The following is a 25,542-nucleotide window of genomic DNA, read 5'->3' as shown; positions in this document are numbered from 1 at the left end:
TTGAGCATCCTGGGAGTCTTGGAACCAATCCCACACAGATACTGAGGGATAACTATACCACATGAGGAGCGATTAAGTAATTAGAAAATCAGCCACCAGGAAAGGGAGAAAATCAATTAGTTTATACAGTTCCCTTTCCAGAAAAGCTACTTTTTTTTTTTTTTTTTTTGAGACAGAGTTTCCCTGTTGTTGCCCAGGCTGGAGGGCAATGGTGTGATCTCGGCTCACCGCAGCCAGCGCCTCCCAGGTTCAAGCGATTCACCTGCCTCAGCTTCCCGAATAGCTGGGATTACAGGCATGTGCCACCATGTCCCTCTAATTTTTTTTTGTATTTTTAGTAGAGACGGAGTTTCACCATGTTGGTCAGGCTGGTCTCGGGCTCCCGACCTCAGGTGATCTGCCCGCCTCGGCCTCCCAAAGTGCTAGGATTACAGGCCACTGTGCCTGGCCGAAAGCTACAATTTTTAAGAAGCATTTTGAAATCTTAATGTCAATTAATGGACTCCCAATTATTATCTACATGGACTTTTAAGGACCCAGGGGTTCCTGTTTGAAATTACTGTACTAATCTCTAGATTATTACTGTAGTATGGATGATACTGCCAGTTCCCAAATATAGTCATTGAGATCTTAGAATAATTTTTTTCTACTTAAAATTCTCTAATAACTTCCTTTGTATTTAGAATAAGATTCAAACTTTTAGGTATTTGTTTATAACAAATAAATATTACATTTATTTGTTTATTTATAACAAGAGTGAGACAGGGTCTTGCTCTGTTGTCCAGGCTGGAGTGCAATACTTCAATCACAGCTCACTGCAGCCTCAACCTCCTAGGCTCAAGTGATCCTCCTACCTCAGCCTCCCAAGTAGCTTGGACTGTAGGTGTGCACCACTATGCCTGACTGATTAAAAAAATTTTTTTTGTAGAGATGGGGTCTGTGTTGCCCAGGGTGGTCTTGAACTCCTGGGCTCAAGGGATCCGCCCATCTTGGCCTCTCAAAGTGCTGGGATTACAGGGGTGAGCCACTATGCCTGGCCTATGTGTGGATTTTAAAAACTCTAAAATGGACCAGGCGCGGTGGCTTAGCCCTATAATCCCAGCACTTTGGGTGGCCGAGACGGGTGGATCACTTGAAGTCAGGAGTTTGTGAGCATGCTCACCAACATGGCGGAACTCTGTCTCTACTAGAAATACAAAAATTAGCTGGGCGTGGTGGTGTTTGCCTGTAATCCCAGCTACTCGGGAGGCTGAGGCACGAGAATCGCTTGAACCCAGGATGTCAAGGTTGCAGTGAGCTGAGATTGCGCTGCTGCACTCCAGCCTGGTTAACAGAGTGAGACCCTGTCTCAAAAATTAAAAATAAAATAAAATAAATAAAAACAGTAAAATGGAAGCTAGAGTTTTCTTAAAAATGAGAAGCTTGAGATTGATGAAAAAGCAAGATAATGGATAAATGATTTCTAAAAAAAGGTATCTAACAGCTTTGTGAAGGGCTAATAAAATTTCTTTCAACTATAAAATGTATTAGCCTATTCCTTTCCTCTTCAAATAAGATACGGTAAATAAAATTAACCATTTTTACCAGGTATATGCAAGCAAGCATGCAGGTACCAACAAGGCTTTGATTTTTTTTTAAGCAAACATGTCTTATTTATTTATAAACTAGTGCCAAGTGATGAGCATGTAAATGATGGGCAGTATTTATGAAATTTCAGAAAGTGGTTGTACTAAAGAGCACTTGTAGCTTCAGTTGTGGTTTTAAAGGAATATCTTAGGAAACTGCATTTACAGATTTGTTCTTCATGGCACCTACATCAGCTTTGGGCACAGTCAGTCAGTACAGTTCTCTTTGTTTCAATAAAGTTTAATCCTATATATATATTTTTTTATATATATTTTTTTCTGTTTATACTCTCCTATTGTGCTTTACAATGCACTGTTCTACCTAAGGCTTGACTTTTTAAGATGGCACCATGTAAGGTCCTCTTGGCCAGAGATTCCAAAAATTTTTGATATGGGACTGTCTTTCCCCATTACTCTTCTCTCTTCTCTCTTCTCTCCTCCCTCCCTCCCTCCCTCCTTCCTTCCTTCCTCCCTTCCTCCCTCTCTCCCTTCCCTCCCCTCCCCTCCCCTTCCCTCTTTCTCTCACTCTTTCTCTCTTTCTCCTTTTCTTTCTCAGAATCTCGCTGTGTCTCAAAAAAATAAATAAATAAATAAATAAACCCAGGCTAGAGTGCAGTGGCGCAATCTCGCCTCATTGCAGTATCTGCCTCCTGGGTTCAAGTGATTCTCCTGCCTCAGCCTCCCAAGTAGCTGGGACTACAGGCACTCGCCACCAAGCCTGGCTCATTTTTGTATTTTTAGTAGAGAAGGGGTTTCAGCTTGTTGGCCAGGCTGGCTTCAAACTCCTGGCTTCAGGTGATCACCCCCCTCGGCTACCCAAAGTGCTGGGATTACAGGCATGAGCCACTGCGCCTGGCCTCCATTACTTTTCAAACAAAATGCAGCGATGACTGGTTGAGTGTGAGGAGGTAAGAACTCAGAATTCTAGGAATGAAAGTATTAGTATTTTATCTGCTGCTGAGACAGCACATCCTGAGGATAGAAGAGGCCGCAAGATTAGCTTTCTCAGATGTTCTGCACCTTTTCCAAGAATCTATGACTTTACTAACTTTATTTGAAATTAACTCTTGTAACTATTTTTACTAACATGGGTTTCTTGGGTTACCTTTTATTTTTCTGTTAGAAACTTGTGTATATCACTCATGCAGAAAGCTAATTTTGAAATAATGCTTTATTTAAATGACTTTCAAAGATATGTGCTAGCATTATTAAGTCAGAAGTAATCCCAGGAAGTCACCCTTATTCTATGATGCTATGAAAATAGCTAACATTTATGAGGCATGAACTGTGGTTGGTGATTTATAAACGCTAATTCTCACAATAACTTGAAAATATGACTTTTCTCATTTGATAGATGAGAAGGATGACATTCAGTGAGTTGCCCAAAGACAGGAAAGGCCATAGCTTGGATTCCATCCCAGGCTGTCTGGCTGCAAACTAGCCTTTTTTCCTACGCCCTGCTGCCCCTCTGAGTCCTTCAGACCAGCTGTCCTCAACTGCTGGGTGGTGACACATTAATGGGCCTACTGTTCATGAGCTAGGTCACAAGTAATTATTAACAGTAGTAGACATACTGAGGTTATGATATATATTTTAAAATAAGTGGAATGGATTCAAGGTCTTCCCTCTAATGATATTATTTTTATTCAGTTCCATTCCTGTATGCTTTTACTGGGTGGGAGAGAAAGGTGGCATTATATGCATCAAACCAGTAATTGTGCATAGCCCCATACATAATGGGAAATCTATTTTATGCTACTGGTAAGCTACCGTTACTGATGAGCTATGAATAGTTTCCACATATTAATAAAGCCTTTTAGGAATATCACTGCAGAAGTAGTCAGTCTGTTTGCTTTACTTTCCTCTAGAAAACTATTTTGTGCATTATCTGAGGACACCCATGGGAGTGTGTGTCTCAACACTTTTGCTGATCTGGATTGTTTCTAGATACTTTTCTCAATTATACAATGTGACAGTGTTTTGGAAAGAGTATTTATAAATTACAATAAAAAATGATCCAAAAGGTGATCTGAGCTAAAGACGAACAAACAAAAATGTGATGGAGTTAATAATGTTAGGGTTGTAGTTTTTTTTTTTTTTTTTTTTTTTTTGAGACAGCGTCCCACTTTGTCCCCCAGGCTGGAGTGCAGTGGCATGATCTTGGCTCACTTCAGTCTCCACTTTCTGGGCTTACGCAGTACTCCTGCCTCAGTCCCCCAAATAGCTGGGACTATAGGTGTGTGTGCTACCACGCCTGGCTAATTTTTGTATTTTTTGTAGAGATGGGGTTTCACTATGTTGCCGAAGCTGGTCTCGAACTCCAGAGCTCAAGCTATCAGTCTGCCTCGGCCTCCTAAAGTGCTTAGGTTTACAGGCGTGAGCCACTGCACTGGACCCTGTAGAATTTTTTCATTCAGTTCTGCTGTGAAGACTGAAGTGCTGAATCCTTAAATATAGTTTGTGGACCTCTAGATTTTAAACTGTGAAACCCAGTTTAAAGATTTTTTTTTTTTTTTTTTTTTTTTTTGAGACAGAGTCTCGTTCTGTCGCCCAGGCTGGAGTACAGTGGCGCAATCTCAGCTCACTGCAAGCTCTGCCTCCCAGGTTCACGCCGTTCTCCTGTCTCAGCCTCCTGAGTAGCTGGGACTACAGGCGCCCGCCACCACGCCTGGCTAATTTTTTGTATTTTTTAGTAGAGACGGGGTTTCACCATGTTAGCCAGGAAGGTCTCGATCTCCTGACCTCGTGATCTGCCTGCCTCGGCCTCCCAAAGTGCTGGGATTACAGGCGTGAGCCACCGTGCCCGGCCTAAAGATATTTTTAAGTTTAAATATTTTTAAGTTTAAATCTATTTTTATAGATTCCCAGAGACCTTCTGATGAAAATCCACTTAATTTTGCTTAATTTTTTCCTGTCCATGCCTGGAGAATCCAGGTTTCTGCTTTGTAGACTATATTTTCTTGCCCCTCCCTTCTCTTCCTCTTTTCTAGTACAACATACTCTGTCATTTATTTAAACAGGAAATTATCCTATAGTTTGAGAAAACATCAATGTAGAAGTGATAATGTAAATTAAGTAAATTTCTGATCATCTTAATTCCTCAGTACAGCTTGACACAAGATTGCTCATAGACCAGGCTTTTGTACTTTTTTTCTCTAATCCCTTCTTCAAAGATCACCCTTATTTTCACCTTGGTCCTCATGATGCCACCTCTTATTGCTCTTTTGGTTGTCCCTTTTTGAGAAAAACCTGTAGAAGAAGAAATATTCTTTTGACAAAAAAGTTCTTGTATCATTATGTAAAACCTCATAGTGAAAAAGCTCGCTCTTTTTTTTTTTAGAAATAAGGTCTCACTCTGCTGCCCAGGCTGGAGTGCAGTGGTGTGATCATAGCTCACTGCAGGCTTGATCTCCCAAACTCCTGGGCTCAAGTGATCCTCCTGCCTCAACCTCCTGAGAAGCTGAGACCACGGCTGTGCGCCACCATGACCAGCTAATTAAAAAAAACATTTTTTTTTTGTAGAGATGGGTTCTTGCTTTATTGCTCAAGCTGGTCTCGAACTCCTGACTTCAAGTAATCCTCCCTCCTCATCCTACAAAAGTGCTGGGATTATAGGTGTGAGCCACCACGCCTGACCTGAAAAAACTCTTGGAAATGTCTGTCTGAATCTTCCATTTACCTTCATTTCTAGCAGAAACTGGGAAATTTCTTTTTTTCTTTTTTCTTTTCTTTCTCTCTTTTCTCTGTCTCTTTCTTATCTTTCATTATTATTACTTTTTTTTGAGATGGTGTGTTGCTCTGTCTCCCAGGCTGGAGTGCAGTGGCATGATCACGGCTCACTGCAACACACTCTGTCTCCCGGGTTCAAGCGATTCTGATGCCTCAGCCTCCCGATTAGCTGGGATTACAGGCGTCTGCCACTACGCTTGGCTAATTTTTGTATTTTTTAGTAGAGACAGAGTTTCACCATGTTGGCCAGACTGGTCTGGAACTCCTGACCTCAAATGATCCACTCACCTTGGCCTCTTAAAATGCTGGGATTACAGGTGTGAGCCCCTGTGCGCGCGGCCTCATTCTTCTTTTTTTTTTTTTTTTTGGAGACAGAGCCTTGCTCTGTCACACGGGCTGGAGTGCAGTGGCACAGTCATAGCTCACTGTAACCTCAACCTCCCTGGCTCAAGCAGTCCTTCCACTTCAGCCTCTTGAGTAGCTGGGACTACAGGCATGTGCCACCATGCCTGGTTAACTTTTTTCTTTCTTTCTTTCTGTTTTTTGAGACAGTCTTGCTCTGTCTCCCAGGCTGGAGTGCAGTGGCGTGATCTTGGCTCACTGCAACCTCCGCCTCCCGTGTTCAAGTAATTCTCATGCCTCAGCCTCCCAAGTAGCTGATATTACAGGCATGTACCACCGTGCCCTGCTATGTGCCTGGTTAATTTTTAAATTTTTTTGTAGACATGGGGTCACACTGTGTTGCCCAGGCTGTCTCGAACTCCTGGACTCAAGCTATCCTGCCTGGGCCTCCCAAAGTGCTGGAATTACAGGTGTGAGCCACCACATCCAGCCTGAAACTGGGCAATTTCTTATATCTCACATCTTTTCGGGTTTAGTACCTTTTATTTCCAGTATCTGTTCAGTTTTCTTCCTCTTCCTTCTCTTGTGGTCCTTTGAGAAAACAGGGACAATCTGCTAGTCTAAGGATATTCTTTCTAGATATTAAATTTATATCAATTTTTTATTGCTGTAGATCAGGACTAAAACAGCAAAAAGGAATTGTTTCCTTTGGGCAGAGATGTGACTTGCTTTTGAAGGGGGAAGTGGGTAGTCACAATCTACTCTTACGTAATTCCCTGATGTAGTCCTCCTTTGTTACAAGAATCAGCACCAACATTATCAATTGGAATTCTATGAGAATGACATACTAACTTTAATAAGAATACATTGAGCAGTAGGAATTTATGGCTGGTTATAGGTTTAAAGCTTGTAGGTGATTTACTTTTAGAACCACAGTGTTTTCTATTTTTAGGTTAAGTTATCCTCAACTTCAACTCTAACTTTTAAGGAAATATAAATGGCTGGGGTAACAAGATAACAGATTGTTTAAAACTATTTCCTATCTCCTGTCTCAAGTGTATGTATTTTCTTAATAAATAAACTTTTGTCAGGATTTCAAAATATTCTTGCTCAGCTCGAGGAAAATGAACTTTCACACTGGACTTAACTTGTTTTGTGCCATTGTTCACCAGAACAATGACTGTGATTTCACAGTTAAAACACAGGCATTGGTACCCTTGAGGTGACTATGTGAAAATAGGTTATTTTGTTTGGTCATTCTCACTCCTGTCTGGCAGTGCTTCATTTTTTCACTGGCAGCTCTAGCTACAATCTGATTTTAATTAAATATGTGAAAGCTGTGTGTACTAGAATGTAAAATCTTGTATATTCTTCATAGTGAAGGACTGACAGGACCCGTTTACAGTGAACCACTTGTAAATCATCTTGTTTCTGGTGGATGGGGCCAATGGGGAAATAATTAAAGTATTGAGTGTATGGAGAGGATAGAAGTTGGTAGAAAACAAAAACTTAAGAACCATACTGGTGATTCCAAAATTCCCCCTCCACCTCCCTTTTATTATTTTATTTTTTATTTTGAGGCAGAGTCTCGCTCTGTCACCCAGGCTGGAGTGCGGTGACGCAATCTCAGCTCACTGCAACCTCCGCCTCCCAGGTTCAAGCGATTCTTCTGCCTCAGCCTCTCGAGTAGCTGGGACTACAGGCATGCACCAGCATGCCCAGCTAACTTTTGTATTTTTAGTAGAGACAGGGTTTTGCTGTGTTGCCCAGGTTGGTCTCGAACTCCAGACTTCAAGAGCTCCACCCGCCTTGGCCTCCCAAAGTGCTGGGATTACAGGGAGCCACCGCGCCTGGCCACCTCCCTTTTAAATTATTATTATTATTATTATTATTATTATTTTTTAGAGACAGGGTCTCATTCTCTCACCCATGCTGGAGTGCAGTGGCGCGATCACAGCTCACTGCAGCCTCGATCTCCCGGGCTCAAGTGGTTCTCTTGCCTCAGCCTTCCGAGTAGCTGGGACCACAGGCACATGCCACCACACCTGGCTAATTTTTTTTTTTATTTTTGTAGAGACAAGATCTCACCGTGTTGTCCAGGCTAGTCTCAAATGGTCCTTGCCTCAAATGGTTCTTCCACCTTGGCCTCCCACTGTTGGGATTTCAGGCATGAGCCACTGTGCCTTTTTTTTTTTTTTTAAGAGATAAAGAGTCTCCCTTTGTTGCCCAGAATGGAGCACAGTGGCTATTAACAGGCCATCATAGCTCACTACAGCCTCAACCTCCTGGGCTCAAGGGATCTTCCTGCCTCAGCCTCCTGGGATAGCTGGGACTAATGGCGTGCACCACGGTGCCTGGCCAGAATTCTCTTTATCTCTTTGATACCTCTATCACCCTCTCTGCCACTTAGAACACAAAATTTGTGGTTAGAGTAGAAGTGGTAGAGGGATAGCCAGCAAATGCCCTAGACCCCAGAGCTTCTGTAGATTTAATTGTCCATTGAAGAATCATGGAGTCATTATAAGAGTCTCTTGCACAAGTGTTGAGCCTACTTAATGAATATTGAACGAAATTACATTCACTTTTCCCTGGAATGAAATCTCTAAGCAAGAGTAAAAATTTAGCTTTTTCTGAATGTGAACATAAGGCCATGAAGTAGACATACCTTGTTGAATCATTATGGGGCAGAGGCCCAGATATGAAATGTCTGTTGACATGTATGCACATTCAGTATTTATTTCAGTGCCTTATTGAACTCTATTGAATAGGTCAGGTGACAGCTTTTATCTGAACATCAGTCTTTGAGGGACAGTTGAAGCACTGGTATATGTGTGAGCGAGAGATTGGTGTTTTTTTCAAATGTAGAAGAGGTAACTTCTTACATTTTTTGCTCTTAAAAGTATATTATTTCATAATATTCAAATTTGCCTTGGGATTTAAAGTATAAATTGTCATTTTAGTAACACAATTGAATATTTTTTAATATCTCTGAACTAATGAGATACAGTTTTCTTTCAAGTGTGGGAACTATTTTGTACCCTGTTCCCTGACCTCTGCCTTTTGACCCTGTCACTTTGTGATGAGATTATAGATAGGCCTTTGAGCTTTTCTCCAGTCTGCTCAGGTTTCCTTACACAGCAACATATAAAGCTTTAAGGTCCTTTAAAAGATGCTCTTAGAATTAAAGAGAACATTCAGATTTAATTGGCATGAGTTTCGTAAATATTTTTTCTTTAAAAAGTCTTTTTCTTCCTTAATGCTTTCCTGTCCCCCAAATCTATTTAATTATGTTTTCTAAAATGGTATATTTCGGGAGAGGCTAACAATTAGAGCTTTCTAGGATAAGGAAATCCAAGAGAGATTCAACTGTTTATTCCCTATTTGTTGTCTCTAGGTATGAGAAGTTAAAATCCAGAATTAGAGGGTGTCATACAAGAGCAGGAGATTTTTTTCAGAGAGAATCAGTGCTTTAACCTTCTTATAATAAGCACTTTTTAGATAACACCTTTTAGATACTTTTTCAGATGCCTAAAATAGAGTAGGAAGAGAAACAAGGACAGAGAAAAGGAGACTGATTTCATTGGCTATGTGTTAATAACTCGTGAGTTTTTTTTTTTTTTTTTTTTTGAGAAAGAGTAAAATTAGTGACAAAAATAAGGGCTTGGGGATTTGATATTTATTTTGTTATTGTTTTACATCCTATCTTCAAGATTATCCAGAAAATTAAGTATTTGCTTTGTTTCAGACATTTTTTAATAGGACTTTCTGAGGAATGTCTGTTTTACGCACCATCAGAAAGATTTGTAACAATGAAGCTGTAGGACTTTGGTTTGCGTGGGGGCATTCTTGCTACTTAACAATGAGTGAGGGTAAATAAAATGATTGTTTTGAAATAACAAAAGGCAATATGTGCTTTATGTGCCTTTTTTTCTTTTTTTTTTTGAGACAGAGTTTCGCTCTTGTTGCCCAGGCTGGAGTGCAGTGTTGTGATCTCGGCTCACCACAACCTCCACCTCCTGGGCTCAAGGGATTCTCCTGCTTCAGCCTCCCAAGTAGCTGGGATTACAGGCATGCGCCACCACACCTGGCTAATTTTGTATTTTTAGTTGGGATGGGGTTTTTCCATGTTGGTCAGGCTGGTCTTGAGCTCCCGACCTCACATGATCCACCTGCGCTGGCCTCCCAAAGTGCTGAGATTACAGGCATGAGCCACTGCACCTGGCCTGGCAATATGTGCTTTTAAAAAATTGTAGCTTTTGGCTGGGTACGGTGGCTCTCGCCTGTAATCCCAGCACTTTAAGAGGTCAAAGCGGGCAGATCACCTGAGGTCAGGAGTTTGAGACCAGCCTGGCCAACATGGTGAAACCCTGTCTCTACTAAAAATACACAAAAATTAGCCGGGCGTGGTGGCTCCCCAGCTACTCAGGAGGTTGAGGCAGGAGAATCGCTTGAGCCCGAGAGGTGGAGGTTGCAGTGAGCCGAGAACGTGCCATGGCACTCCAGCCTGGGCAATGAGTGAAACTCCGTCTCAAAAAAACAAAAAAAAAAATTGTGGCTTTTAAATTATTTTTCTAAAAAAGAAAGAGTGAATGGATAAAATGGAGTTTTCTAATTCAGGTGTTTACTTTTGAGAGATAGAAATTAAATCCGTAGTTCTTGCAACTTTTTTTTTTTAAACCCAAATCCTTTCTACAATTAGTAATTAAAGTGAAATGAGAAAAGAAAGAGTAGCTTTGAATCTCACTCAGTTGCTTAATGCTAAAATAATCTATTAAAATTTTTTTTTCTATGGAAAGGGGAAAACACTAGTGACAAATAAGATGGGAAGACAGGAAGAAGCTAGTTAGCAGAAGAGGCAACTCAGTGACAAGATAAACTCTTGATCTCTATCTTACTGGTCCGATTTGTGTGTTGTCACGTAGAATGAAAATATGTTTAGACGGTATAAGAAACCTCTGATGGAAAAATCTGGTTGTCTCCCTGCAGGTTGCTAAGAAAGAGTGATGTTTCAGGGAGGCTGAGTCTTGAAGCAGCAGCAGCAGATCTGACACTTGTCCTTCACAGCTCCTTTCCTGTCTCCCATAGTAAGGGCTATGTAAACATTTCATGATCAGTGCTGGCACTTGCAGCCGAGAATGCGGAGAATGCTTGCAGTTTCCCTTTTCATGCAGCAGAATGATAACAGGGACAATCTTTTGATTGTCTTATTATGTTTTGGCTTTTGTTGCTTTTAAAATTCCCAGTTTGTGTTGCTGTAAGGGAGGTAACATTTCTCACCCTTTCTGTAAATGAGTTTCCTGCCAAAACCTACCTGTGAGTTTCAAATGTTTAGACCAATCAACCAACCAAAGACCTTGAGATAACCTAAGAAGGTATAACCTAAGAAGGGACAGTTACACAGTAATTGGGAAAACTTCTGCAAGGACAGATGTGCATTTCTCATTTTCTTTAAACCTATCAATTTACTGAAAATGAATATGATTTTTGTTAATAATGACAGTGCCAAAAAAAATTACTAAAATCTTTTTGAGTAAATGAAACCAAACTCCTAAAAAAAGAAAACTTTTTTTTTTTTTTTAAAGAGAATTTTGGCTGGGTGCAGTGGCTCACGCCTGTAATCCCAGCACTTTGGGAGGCCGAGGCGGGTGGATCACGAGGTCAGGAGATCGAGACCATCCTGGCTAACATGGTAAAACCCTGTCTCTACTAAAAATACAAAAATTAGCCGGGTGTGGTGGCGGGCGCCTGTAGTCTCAGCCACTCGGGAGGCTGAGGCAGGAGAATGGTGGGTGAACCCAGGAGGCGGAGCTTGTAGTGAGCCAAAGTCGTGCCACTGCACTCCAGCCTGGGCAACAGAGTGAGACTCCGTCTCTTAAAAAAAAAAAAAAAGAGAGAGAATTTTGATTAGTTCTTATCTGGAGATATATTGCTTATAATTTTTTTCTCTTGGTTTTTTTGTTTGTTTGTTTTTGAGATGGAGTATTGCTGTGTCACCCAGGCTGGAGTGCAGTGTTGGCGATCTTGGCTCACTGCAACCTCCACCTCCCGGGTTCCAGTGATTCTCCTGCCTCAGCCTCCTGAGTAGCTGGGATTACAGGCACCCGCCACCATGCCCAGCTAATTTTTTGTATTTTTAGTAGAGATGGGGTTTCATCGTGTTAGCCAGGATGGTCTCGATCTCCTGACCTTTTGATCTGCCTGCCTCAGCCTCCCAAAGTGTTGGGATTACAGGCATGAGCCACCGCACCAGGCCATTTTTTGGTAATTTTTTAGAATGAGTTGAATTGAGATGAATTTTAGTTGTTCCTAAGTACTGTGTACTGTGACTGGCAGTGGCTCTTAACTGTTATTTTTTGAGACAGAGTCTCACTCTGTTGCCCAGGCTGGAATGCAGTGACACAATCATGGCTCACTGCAACCTCTGCCTCCTGGGCTCAAGCTATCCTACTGCCTCAGCTTCTTGAGTAGCTGGAATCACAGGCATGTACCACCATACTCGGCTAATTTTTTTGTGTGTTTTTAATAGAGACAGGGTTCACCACATTGGCCAGGCTGGTCTTGAACTCCTGGCCTCAAGTGATCTGCCTGCCTCTGGCTCCCAAAGCACTGGGATTATAGGCATGAGCCATCGCTCCCAGCTGGCATTGGCTCTTTAAAATTTTTGGGAGGAGAATATAACACAGTCACAAAATAATGTAAGGGGGCAAATTGTGGAAAAGAAGGTCTATTTATGCCCAGCTCACTGCTCCTACTTTTTGTTTCCAGAGCCAGATATATATGTTACACACATAAAAGAGGTATGTAGGCCAGGCGTGGTGGCTCATACCTGTAATCCCAGAACTTTGGGAGGCAGGTGAATTGCTTGAGCTCAGGAGTTCGAGACCAGCCTGCGCAGCATGGTGAAACTCCATCTCTACCAAAAATACAGAAAATTAGCTGGGTGTTGGCAGTATGCGCCTGTGGTCCCAGCTACTCGGTAGGCTGAGGTGGGAGGACCACCGGAGCCTGGAAGGTGGAGATTTCATTGAGCCTAGATTTCACCACTGTACTCCAGCCTGGGTGACACAGTAAGACCCTCGTCTCAAAAAAAAAAAAAAAAAAAAAAAGGTATGTTGCTGGGTGTGGTGGCATGTATGTACCTGTAACCCTAGCTACCTGGGAGGCTAAGGTGGGAGGATTGCTTGAGCCCAGGAGTTCAAGACCAGTCTGAGCAACATACCAGACCCTTGTCTCAAAAACAAAGAGGAATATAGATTAGCCCACTTCAACATTTTATGAAGTGGTGGGAGATGACTTGGGAAAAGAGGTTGAATCAGCCTTTGGAGTTCTCTATCAGTTAGAATGCTGTGGTTTATAGGTCAAAGAGGAGATAAAGGAATTTGGCTGGTTCACAAAATTTAAAAGGAGTTTTTGGGGGCATGTGTTCAGGGTGTAATTTGAACGTGGCTCCAGCTTCATTTCACTGCAGCTGTTTAGGCGCAACCTTTATGCACTGTTGACTTCTCTTCTGGTGGCTTCCCTCAGAGTTATTAAGTGGCAGCAGAAGTTAAGAGTTTGTATTCGCACATCACACCTTCCTTAGAAGAGATTTAACTTTCCTCCTCTAGCCTTCACTCCTGTCAGGAAACAAAAATATGGGTGTTTGCTGTGGCCTGTCCTTTAACAAATCAGTGTGGCAAGTAAAATGGGATTAAACTGATTACTGAGACTAATTTGGGATGAAAACTATATAGCTAGTTCACAGTAGAAGAGGGAGGGAAGTGGCTGCTGGGAAACATTCCCAATACAGGTTGAGTATCCCTTATCCAAAATATTTGAGACCAAAAGTATTTAGGATTTTGTGTTTTTTCAGATTTTGGAATATTTGCATATACATAATGAGATTTCTTAAGGGTGGGACCTAAGTCTAAACATGAAATTCACTTATATTTCATATGTACCTTATTCATGTAGCCTGAAGGTAATTTTATACAGTATTTTAAATGATTTTGTGTACCCATCACATTAGTTCAGGTATGGAATTTTCCACTTGTGGTGTCATTAGCAGTCAAAAAATTTCAGATTTTGGAGCATTTCATATTTCTGGATTAGGGATGCTCAACCTGTATTCTCTACTTGTTGAATGCTAGACTATAAAGATGGCCCTCTGAAGGACAGAAAAGAGGCCAGTTGTGGTGGCTCACATCTGTAATCCCGTACTTTGGAAGGCCGAGGTGGGAGGATGGCTTGGCTTGAGCCCAGGAGTTCATGACTAGCCTGGTCAACAAAGCAAGACCCTGTCTCTACAAAACAAAACAACCCCCTAAAAATAGAAAAGAGCCACTGAAAGGTGTTTTGTTGTTGTTGTTTTTTAAAGAGGTGGAATCTTGCTCTGTTTGCCTAGGCTGGAGTGCAGTGGTGAGATCATAGCTCACTGCAGCCTTAATCTCCTGGGCTCAAGCAGTTCTCCCACCTCAGCCTCCCAAGTAGCTGGGACTGCAGGTATGCACCACCCTAAAAGGTTTTGAACAAAGGAGTGGCTTGCTCAAAACTGTAGCCTTAGGAATATCACTCTGGATGGAGGATATAGCATGGAATTAAACTGGGACGAGATTTGAAGTGGGGAAACCAATTAGGATGCTTTTTTTTTTTTTTTTTTTTTAGACAGAGTCTTGCTCTGTTGCCCAGGCTGGAGTGCAGTGGCACGATCTTGGCTCACTGCAACCTCTGAGGAGGCTGTTCTGTAAGACAAATTAGAAGGCAACATTCTGAATTAGAATAGTAGTGGTGGGAGTAAAGAAGATGGGGGATGGATAGGAAAGATAGGACACACAAGTAAATTGAATTTGGCAACTTCTTTTTTTTTTTTTGAGACAAGGTCTTGCTCTGGCACACAGGCTGGAGTGCAGTGATGCTATCACAGCTCACTGCAGCCTCCATCTCCTGGGCTCAGGTGATCCTCCCACCTCAGCTTTCCAAATAGCTGGGACTACACCCACGTGCCACCACACCCAGCTAATGAATTTGGCAACTTTATTGTATGTTGGGTTTGTCAACCTAAATAACAAATAGGGATAGGCTCTCTAAAAGAAAATTATTTTTATTTTGAAATAAGGTGTTGCAATAGGAATATACATGCGATAGTAAACTGTGTGTTCTTTAACATTGTGGAATTTGTATAGCTTACCAGTTTGAATGTCTGCAAGTGCTTGCACTGGGTTCTAACCTCCGCCTCCCAGGCTCAAGCAGTTCTCCTGCCTTAGCTTCCCAAGTAGCTGGTAGAACAGGCACACTCCACCGAACCCAGCTAATGTTCCAGTCATCTGGTACTACCATAGAAAAATGTTTACCAATTAGCTGTATAGAAGAATCTGATGTTGAACTGCCTGCTATTGGTTGATAATGCTTGTATAGTACTTACTATGTAGCCTGGCAGGATGTAATTGCACAATAAATATTAGCCACATTTTCATCATCATAATTAATTGGTTTAAACCTTGGGCAGTTTGATGATGAAATTTAAGGTATTCCTGGAACTCTCCTTTAGATATTTTTTCTTTAAAAAATTTTTAAAAAATTATTGTAGATACCTGGTCCTGCTATGTGGCCCTTGCTCGTCTTGAACTCCTGGCCTCAAGTGATCCTCCCACCTCTGCCTCCCAAAGTGCTGGGATTATAGGCATGAGCTACTGGGCCCAGCCTATGACATGTTTTATCGTAGAATATGCACCTAATTTTAATATATATATATCTGTTTTACCATGTTGCCTTTTAATCTCTTAATTTAATAACAATAATAAAAGTATTGCTTGAATTACACACACACACACACACACACACACACACACAGTTTTTAAGAGAGAGGTTCTCACTATGTTTCCCTGGCCGGAATGCAGTAGCTATTCACAGATGTGATTACAGCACACTATAGCCTCGAACTCCTGGGCTCAAGCAATCCTCCTGCCTCAGTCTCTTGAGTTGCTGGAACTACAGGTGTGCACCACCATGACTGGCTTCAAATTATATTTTTTAATTTTTTTTGAGACAAGAGTTTCACTTCTGTCACCCAGGCTTCACTGTAGTGGTGTGATCTCAGCTCACTGCCATCTCCACCTTCTGGGTTCAAGCGATCCTTCCACCCTAGTCTCCCAAGTAGTTGGGACTACAGGTGCATGCCACCATGCCCAGCTAATTTTTATATTTTTTTTTCTAGAGATGGGGCTTTACCATGTTGCCCAGGCTGGTCTCAAACTCCTGGGTTCAAGCAATCCACCTGCCCTAGCCTCCCAAAGTGCTGGGATTACAGGTGTGAACCTCTGTGCCAGGCCACTATTTTTTAGTTTTTATAGCCAGTCAAATATGGTCCCTAGTTTGCAGCTGGCAATCATGTTTAGAGACGTTAAATGAATTACCTAAGTTTGCATTGCTAGTGGCAGAATTAGAACCACAACAGAGATTCTTCTGGGTCCAAATCCAGGCCCCTTTAACTATAGAGAACAGTCTCAGAGAAACTTAATCATTCTCATGTGTAAAAGAGCCCACCTTTTAAATCTGATAGAGAGCAGGGCATTTATATACTTAAAAGGAACATTAATAAACCTATTATATGTTAACCTAAATCACATTCTAAATGAAAACAAGACTAACTTTGGGCCTTTTATGCATGAAAATTACAGATTTTGTTGGTTGTGCATCTGTTTTAGGAGTAGACTATCTACGTGTAAGCGACCAGAGGCATCCACATAAGCAAGATGTATAAATTGCTTAACAGGACTCAACGTGAGTGTAAAAGGACTCAATAGATTTACTCCTTTCTTTTCTTTCGTTTTTTTGTGAGATGATCTCAGCTCACTGCAACCTCTGCCTCCTGGGCTCAAGCGATCTTTCTATCCTAGTCTCCCAAGTAGTTGGGACTACAGGTGTGTGCCGGCACACCTAGCTGGTTTTTTTATTTTTTTGTGGAGACAGAGTTTTGCCATGTTGCCCAGGCTGGTCTCAAGTGAGCCACCTGCCTTGGCCTCTGAAAGTGCTGGGATTACAGGCATGAGCCACTGTGCCCAGCTAATCCCTTAATAGATGCAGTAGTCGAATTGGCAAGGTTGTGAATACCAGGAACCAAGAATCATTGAGGGTCATCTTGAGGCTGACTGCCACATTGATTAAATCTGTTAGGATCTATAATCTTCAGCAGTGGTTTTAAGTAGAGCATACTAAAGCAATAGTAGTGTGCAGGATTTTGATGCCATCTCCGCTGAAGGAAATAATACAATCTGCTATCTTTAGAATTGCAGTATGGCATGGGCTGGTTGTGGTGGCTCACACCTGTAATCTAGCACTTAGGGAGGCAGAGGTGGGAGGATCACTTGAGGCTAGGAGTGTGAGACCAGCCTGGGCAACATGGCAAAACCCTGTCTCTAAAAAAAATACAAAAATTAGCAAAGGGAGGTGGTGCCTACCTGTAGTCCCAGCTACTCTGGAGGCTGAGGTGGGAGGATCACTTGAGCCTGGGAGTTGGAGGTTGCAGTGAGCAGAGATCTCGCCACTGCTCTCCAGACTGGGTGACAGAGCCAGACCCTGTCTCAAAATAATAATAATAATAATAATAATAATAATAATAATAATAATAGAATGAAAAGAGAGGGGTGGTAGTGGAAGGGAACTGAAAAGTGCATGATAAATTATGTAAGGAAGCATTAGGCTTTGGTCAGAAATGTTGTTAGCCAGCTGCAAGTGAACCCATCTGGCACACTTTTTCATTATTCTTCTGAAATATTCATGGACTCTTAACAGTTCCTACCTTGTTTGCACTAGATCCTCACATACTCTTACCTTCTGGCAGCCAGTCTATGGTTGCAGTGGGTTGCTCTTGTTTTGTTTCTTGTTGCTGAGGATGTAATCAATAAAGAGTAGATACTCAAGGTAAAGTTTATGGATACTCAAATTCACTTACAAATAATGGCTAATCACTACATTTTATTATGCTTTAATGTGTATATATATAATATTTTATCTCTGAATTATGAATCTATTCTAGTCATTAAATAGTAACATTCATTTTCTTTTCTTTTTTGAGCTGGAGACTTGCTCTGTTGCCCAGGCTGGAGTGCAGTGGTGTGATTCTGGCTCATTGCAACTTCTGCCCCTCTGGGCTTAAGCAGTTCTCCTGCCTCAGCCTCCCTAGTAGCTGGGATTACAGGCATGCACTACCATGCTCAGCTAATTTTTATATTTTTGGTAGAGATGGTGTTTCACCACATTGGCCAGGCTGGTCTTGAACTCCTGACTTCAAGTGATCCACTCACCTCAGCCTCCCAAAGTGCTGGGATTACAAGGATGAGCCACCACAACCGGCCCACTTTCATTAAAGAAGTTTTTTTTAAATTTAGAGAGCATATGATTAAAAGTTGACTTAAATTTTTTTATTTGCAAAAGGCATTTGCATGTTTCTTATTGGTTTCCAAGAGATCTCTTGAAATCATTTAGGAAGTAGATGAAGAGAGACAGTAAATAATCCTTTTATTTTTAAAAATTAAATTATCTTCAGATCATTGATAGTAGGTTTATCTAGGATTCAAAAATGTTTCTGAAAATTGGTCTTACAAACTCAAAGTTCGTAAGACTGCTTTTTGCACTGAATAGTAACTTGAGTTCACTTAGGTGTTCCTGCTTCTGTTTTAGGAAGAAACTTTGCTGCTTTGTCTTTACAATTAAAGTATGATCTTCTTACATTAACTCTCTGCTTTACACAGGAATGGAATCCTCAGTTTTTGTTTTTGTTTTTACCCCCAAAGGAGGTTAGCAGTTGGAGTTCATTAAAAAATGCTGAGATTTTACCTAGTTGAGTGATAGATTTAGATTTTAGAAAGAGTAGGATCAGTCTTTCCATTTTTTGTAGATTAACACTGTGATGGCGGTGTTGAAAAAGGTGGGCTGTTTGTGTTATAAATTTGTATGATACGGATTTTCATGTTTAAGTCCAGTCTTCCTTTGGCTTCTCTTCTTTTAGCTTTGACTCCATTGTCTGCTTTGGCTTTGCAAGGTGAAAAAACATGGCCCCAGGGTCAGTGCTTCCCAGAAACCTAGCTGACTTTGATGGTCAGTAGAACTCATTTGCCACCTTTTAAACAAAAAGTTTGTAGACTTTGCAGGCTCTCCATCTGTCTCACCAAGCTAGGTGCAGTTATTGTGCAGAAAGTTTGCTTAGGGGCAGAGGAAGCCTTATCTACGTAAGTATTTAGAATTTGTTAAAAAAAAAAAAAAAGGAAAAAGGAAAGCAGTTTATAGATGAATACTTAAATAGTTTCATTTTGTACAAGTCACCTGGTTTTGTTCCCATGTGTTAGGAAGAAATGAGTTGGACAGAATTAGAAGTCTTGTCACTGAAGTAATTAAAGTTATTACAGAGCAGCTTTTTTAGATTAGAAAGGAAGAAGCTAGAAATTAGTCATTGGTTGCTTTCATTATCTATTATTTGCTTTCATTTTATTTTTCTTACAAAACTGCTATCATTACACAGATCGTATACAACTACAAGCCTTTTATTTTATTTTATTTTATTTCATTTTTTTTTTTAAAGACAGAGTTTCGCCTTTGTTGCCCAGGCTGGCGCGCAATGGTGCGATCTCGGCTCACCGCAACCTCCACCTCCCGGGTTCAACTGATTCTCCTGCCTTAGCCTCCCTACCTGGTAGCTGGAATTATAGGTGCCCGCCACCACGCCCAGCTAATTTTGTATTTGTATTAGAGATGGGGTTTCTCCATGTTGGTCAGGATGGTCTTGGAACTCCTGATCTCAGGTGATCCGCCTGCCTCGGCCTCCCAACGTGCTGGGATTATAGGCATGAGCTGCTGCGCCCGGCCCATTTATTTTAATTTAAATTTATCCTTTAGAAAGCAATTCTGTAGTATGAAATGTGTGTACTCTTTACCTGTGGGTACATAAATTGCCATTTTTATTTATTGGACTTTTGGGTGGTAATGAGGTAGGGCTGGCCAGATAGTATTAATATGATTTCTAAGCATGTCTTTCTGACTTCTAGACTTGAAGCTACTTGAGGGAAACAGTTTAGCATAATAGTTTATCATCTCTAAAATAGGGAAGTATTTAATTTATAATGGTGGCTAAGTTGATGAATGAGATAATGTACAGAGTCTGGGGTATATGGGAAGTACCCAATTAATGTAACCTGTTATTTATTTATATTTGTAGTCCTTCAGCATCTACTACAGTGCTTGCACTTAATAGATGCTCACTGCAACTTTGTTGAATGAATGATGTGGCTTAAACTTACGGAGAAAGTTCCAGAATATATAGCCATTGTCAGCATGATTGATGAATCTATTACAAAGGGAAAAAATGCTCATGTGTTTGATATTTATACCTCATTTTGACTGTAGTTACTACACTCTTAATGCCATACTAGCTCCTGTCACAGGCCTGACAAATAGTAGGCGCTCAATGTATGTTTGAATAAATTATTGATTTTTTGTTCTTCCTGGAAATGGCAATGTTTTCTATTTGTCACTTTATGTTATGCTAAACAGGTTTGAGTTTTAGGAGTCCTCTTTACTATAAATTGAGGTGGTTAGATGTTGGCTAATCAGGTTTCAAAATATGTATATATATATTTTAAACGTAAGCATCAAGTCTCAAGTAAGCCCCTTTTCCTAGAGATGAACTGTTGCAGGCATGTGGAGCATAAATTGTTGTTGTTGTTATTATTATTATTTGAGACAGGGTCTCACTATGTTGCCCAGACTGTTCTTGAACTTCCGGGCTCAGGTGATCCTTCCTCCTCAGCCTCTCAAGTAGCTGGAATTATAGGTGTGTGCCACCACGCTTGGCTTAGGAAATTATTGTGAAATGTATTTGTGTATGCTATGCTTGAGCTGGGATATATTTTCTTGCTGTTTCTCTTTTGCGATATGTGGATAAGGAAATGCTTTGCTGTGCTTTAAATTGCGGGCTTTGCCCCCTTGAGATGCGTACATGAGTATGGTGCAGCTGTGTATCTGTGACTCGGACAGATCCTGAGTATAGATCCTTTTTGGTAACTGATCTCCTCTTTTCTTCATCCCTTACATACGGAGTTCTCTTTTTAAATCCCTGAACATAACTGGGATCTTGACAAAGGTTCCAGCAAATCTCCTATTCTATTTTCTCGTAAGAATACTCCCTCTGATCTTAGTACTTTCTTCCACGGTCTCTGCTAGGTGAAATGAGCTCACTAAGCATAGTTTACTCTCTCTTTTTGGTAGTAAAGGAGCTGGTTGCAATATTAAACAAGGTGTTCAGGGTAGCCCTCACTGAGAGGTGATCTTTGAACAAAGACTTAAGAAAGTAAGGGAGTTAGCCAAGTAGATATTTGGGAAAAGTATCCCAAAGTAAACATCAAGCGGTCACCTGGTGAGTTCGAGTAACCCTAAAGAGTCTGGAGGAGTGAACAAGAGGAATGAATAATAGAAGGGGAAGCCACAGGAGGCCCCATCATGAAGGGCCTTATGTTGTTGAAAGGACTTTGGTTTTTACTCTAAGAGAATGGGGGGAGCCATTGCCTGATTTGAACAGGGTAGAGAGACCTCTGACTTAGTTTTAAAAGGATCATCCTGGCAGCTAGCTGTATTAAGACTAAATTGTGTGTGTGTATGCAGGGAGGTTCAAGGGTAGAAGCAGGAAGATCTGTTGGGAAGCCTGCAGTAATTTAAGTAAGGGATGATGGTGGTGGCTCAGGCCACATAGTAGCAGTGGAGATAGTGAGATGTAGTCAATTTCTGGACATATTTGGAAGATTGAAACAATAGGATTTTGTTATCAAAAGGCGGGGTGTGAGAGAAAGGGGATGAATCAAAGATGACTCTAAAGGTTTTAAACTTCAGTAAGTTGAAGAAAAATGGAATTACCATCAACTTAACTGGAGAATACCATAGTATGGGTTGCATAGGTTGGAGGAGGGTTGGCACAGCTCAGGAATCCATTTTTGGACATTCTGAGTTTGAGACACCTGTAAGATATTCTGGTCAAGTAGGCAGTTAGACGTATGAGTCTGGAGTTAAGAGAGAAGACTGAGCTGGAATTATACATTATGGAGGCAAAATATTTAAATCCTTGAGTTTAGATAAGATCACCAAGGGAGAGAATGTGGATAGAGAAGAGGAAGAGGGCCAAGGATAGTTCATGGATGTTCTAACAGTAAGATTGGATCAGTAAGCACATTTACAACATTTTAGGGGAAAAATTACTAAGTATTTTTTGAATATATGGAGAATAGAACAGTAAAGAAGGAAGGCAGCAGCAGCACTAAGAGTATCTCTTTTTTCTTCCCTTTTTTCCTTCCGTTGTAAAATTCCTAAAAAATTTCCATGTGGTAATAGACTCAAGGTCAGAGTGAACACACAGCTAACCCTTTTCTTGGTGGATTAATGCCTTGATTCTATTTCTTTCACTGTTGTTTTTCTTTTTTCTTTTATTTCTTCTTTCACTATTTTATTGAAATTCTTAAATCCATGATTAAACTTCAAGTGTATAATTGCTAAACAGATATTAATAAGTGCTGTCAGATTCTTACATTTCCATTACACTTTAATTAAGCTAAACAGTATAGGCAAAACTTTCCTAATGTTAATAAAAATTAAAGATGTAAATTCTGAAAATCATCAGCGGTTGAACATAATAGGATTTTAACATTTTTCTTGTGTTTTTACTCTTTGTCTGGAGATAACTCCAAAATATTTGTGTTTCAGCTACTTTACATGCTTAAGCAGTACATGGTAATGAATGATAAATACCTGGTCTAGTTGATGGAACATCCTTGCCAATACTTTGAATTAGATTAACTAATTCTGGACTATAATATGGCATAGGAGACAGTGTCCTCTTTTATTCTTTTATTCTGTGTTTCCAGTTTTGTAAGCTTGTCTTTGAGTTTGATTTGTTGAGGAAAAATAACTTAGGGAGGGTAGCTTAATTTGCCATGAGTTCATCGTTTCCTCCACTAATGTGAAGGTTTAACTAAAATAGACCGAAGACTGACTGTTTTTCCCTACTCTCCCATGAGAATTTTCTATCAGTACGAGGATGGTAGAAAGTTTACTTTTCATTTTTCATCTGGGGTTAGAACTTATGTTCCAAGTGACATATTTACCAGTGAATTAAGGTGTATTTGATTATATGATCTATATTTGAAGGGACAAGTATATTTTCTTTCTTTCAGCTGTTTTTCTTTTCGTATTACAAAAAGGTAATGCTTCCAGGTGCTGAATAGATGATAGTCAAGAGTCTTCAGTCATTCCTAGAGAGGAGATGAAATGGTGTTAGTTGCATTTGTTAGTAAAAATCATTTATCTGGCTATATTCCTGAAGAACCACAGAATTTCAAATGCTAAAATAAACTTTCATTTGCTAAATGGATGCATAGTTAATGCTTAGTCATGAGATTGATTCATGTTTGGGTTCTACTACTGAAATTAAGCCAGTCCTTTAGGAGGAGGCAAGCAAAGGGGAGTTGATTCAGTGTTGTGTAAAGTGTTATCCATCAGTATGAGTATTTTTCATGTTTTATTCATGAGTAATAGATTCAAAGAAGTTTTAATAAAGTGCCCAATTTTATTTGCATAGGTCAGAATAAACTTTGTAAATAAGTTTGTGATACCTGGGTACAAACTAAAAGGCTAGGAATGAAGTTATTTGGGTCTTATGCCTAAAGTTTAGGAGTTCCAGGAAAATTTTTCTGTTAAGCCCTGGAGGTCTACATGTTTCTGTAGATCAAAGAGGTGAGAACCATTTCTCTTATTGTGCTGTTCTTGTAGTTGCACTGTAATAATCTTTCATGGAACAACTGAGAACTCATGTCATTGTGGAGAGTCACCAGTGCAATTGCCTCTTGCTCCAAGCCCAGGAAAAAGAAAACAAGGGGGTTGGGGGGTGGGTTCTGATTCATATATGTATAAGGAAATTAAGAACACCATCTATGAGGAATTGCTGAAAAGAACAATAAAACTGTCTGGTCTTTGATACACGTCTACATTATTTTAGAAAGGGCTCAGTGTCTGAGTATCTCTAGCGCTGTTATCAAGGTAGTGAACTCCTAAGACTAGTCTATGCGATTGCTTTTGTTTGGGGTTTTTAGACTTTTTTTTCTAAGAGACGGGATCTCTTTTGCCCAGGCTTTAGTGCAGTGGTGAGATCATAGCTCACCGGAGCTTCAAACTCCTGGGCTTAACCAGTCCTCTCGCCTCAGCCTCCAAAATAGCTGGGACTACTACCATGCCTGGCTGAAGGGTTGGGAGACTTCAGAGCAGCTTCTTGCCTGCATTGGTTTTGATGTGGCTAAAGTGGTGAGCATTTCTGTGTCTTTTTTTTTTTTTTTTTTTTTTTGCCACCACAGCTCCCCAGTTTCTCTGGTTTTAATAGGTTGTATATTGTTCCCACGTTTCAGCCCTTTCTTTTTCTCTCTTCTCCTTTTCCCTACTCTCTAAAATACCTAAAGGGTAGTAGTCAGATAGGTTATTTTTTTTCAATTGCTAAACTTCCTATTCACCTTATGCCTTGAATTTGTACGTTTACTTTTTGCCTTTAAAAACAAAGTTCGAGATCAGCCTGGGTGACATGGTGAAACCCTGTTTCTACAACAAATACAAAAATTAGCCTAGTGTGCTGGTGCATACCTGTAATCCCAGCTACTTGGGAGGCTGAGGTGGGAGGAGGATCAGTTGAGCCCAGGAGGTTGAGGCTGCAGGGAGCCATGAGCATGCCACTGCACTCCAGCCTGGGTGACAGAGCGAGACCCTGTCTTAAAAGAAAAAAGAAAAAAATGAATATGAATATAACTATATTTTTAAATTCTGATATGCATTTTATAGAAAATTTAAGCAATACAGGAAAATGTAAAGAAAGTAAAAATGAACAGCAACTCAACTGTTTAGAGATAACTACTAATACATTTAGTAGCCATTATGTCTCTCTACTCTCTATGCCTGTATAATTAACTTTAATATATATTGTTTGATTTTAATATTTGTATTTAATGTCTTACTAATCATATGTAGTAAAATCATTATGGATGCTGTCTTAACCTGTTTAAACCCAATGATATATTGTGGAGATAATTCCATTTTATATCTACATTATCTAGAATACCATGTACTTTACACCCTTATTTACAGGTATATCCTTATTTACAGATTCTCTTACTATAGATTCTGAGGTTGTTTTGATTTTTTTGTTATTTTAAGCAGCATTGAGGAGAACCTCCTAGTGGGAAAATCTTTGCACACATTTTTAATGATTCCTTCAAGTCACATTTCTAAGGAAACTGCTGGGTCAAGAGGCATGCATATTTCTTTTTTTTAATCATATTGCCAATTTACTCATCTGCTAGTATTCTTGAAGGAATATAAACAGTTCGGCAGTATTTTTACACTTCAGTGTGTATTTTGTTAAGAAAACAGACCTGACTGAAAGACCTAGAATCACTTTATTCTGTAAACAATAGGTTTCTTTTCTTGTTTTCTATTTTTATTTTTTATTTAAAGTAGAATAGAGATAGGGTCTTGCTATGTTGCCCAGGCTGGTCTTGAACTCCTGACCTCAAGCCTAGCAAACAGTAGTTTTCTTAATATTGTTCTGCAAAGCCTCTGAAATTCCCAGATGTCATAAAGTTCTCTTTTGAAAATTAAGAATGGCCTTTTAGCTGGGCATGGTGGCTCACGCCTGTAATCCCAGCACTTTGGGAGGCCGAGGCAAGTGAATCAGCTGAGGTCGGGAGTTCAAGACCAGCCTGACCAACAATGTGAAACCCTATCTCTACTAAAAATACAAAAATTAGCTGGGCATGGTGGCAGGTGCCTGGAGTCCCAGCTACTTGGGAGG

General features: G+C 40.4%; 1 protein-coding gene across 17 annotated transcripts in view, besides 3 other annotated features; it reads left to right on the top strand.

Moving 5' to 3' along the window:
* Nucleotides 1-25,542, top strand: part of DENND5B (DENN domain containing 5B) — a 208,911-nt gene that overhangs the window by 9,274 nt on the left and 174,095 nt on the right. The window lies entirely within an intron of this gene.
* Nucleotides 6,462-6,662: a silencer, noted in NCBI's record as "peak1655 fragment used in MPRA reporter construct". NCBI's record gives its function as "represses an SCP1 promoter by STARR-seq MPRAs in K562 erythroleukemia cells {active_cell/tissue: K562}" and the evidence as "EXISTENCE:reporter gene assay evidence [ECO:0000049][PMID:32103011]".
* Nucleotides 9,983-10,483: an enhancer, noted in NCBI's record as "H3K4me1 hESC enhancer chr12:31724314-31724814 (GRCh37/hg19 assembly coordinates)". NCBI's record gives its function as "activates a minimal SCP1, AML or CMV promoter by ChIP-STARR-seq in primed H9 embryonic stem cells {active_cell/tissue: H9 hESC(primed)}" and the evidence as "EXISTENCE:reporter gene assay evidence [ECO:0000049][PMID:30033119]".
* Nucleotides 10,670-10,829: an enhancer, noted in NCBI's record as "active region_6167". NCBI's record gives its function as "activates an Ori minimal core promoter by ATAC-STARR-seq in GM12878 lymphoblastoid cells {active_cell/tissue: GM12878}" and the evidence as "EXISTENCE:reporter gene assay evidence [ECO:0000049][PMID:35858748]".

This window comes from Homo sapiens, chromosome 12, assembly GCF_000001405.40.
Source record: "Homo sapiens chromosome 12, GRCh38.p14 Primary Assembly".
Lineage (NCBI taxonomy): Eukaryota > Metazoa > Chordata > Mammalia > Primates > Hominidae > Homo > Homo sapiens.
This window is presented reverse-complemented; position numbering and strand designations above follow the sequence as displayed.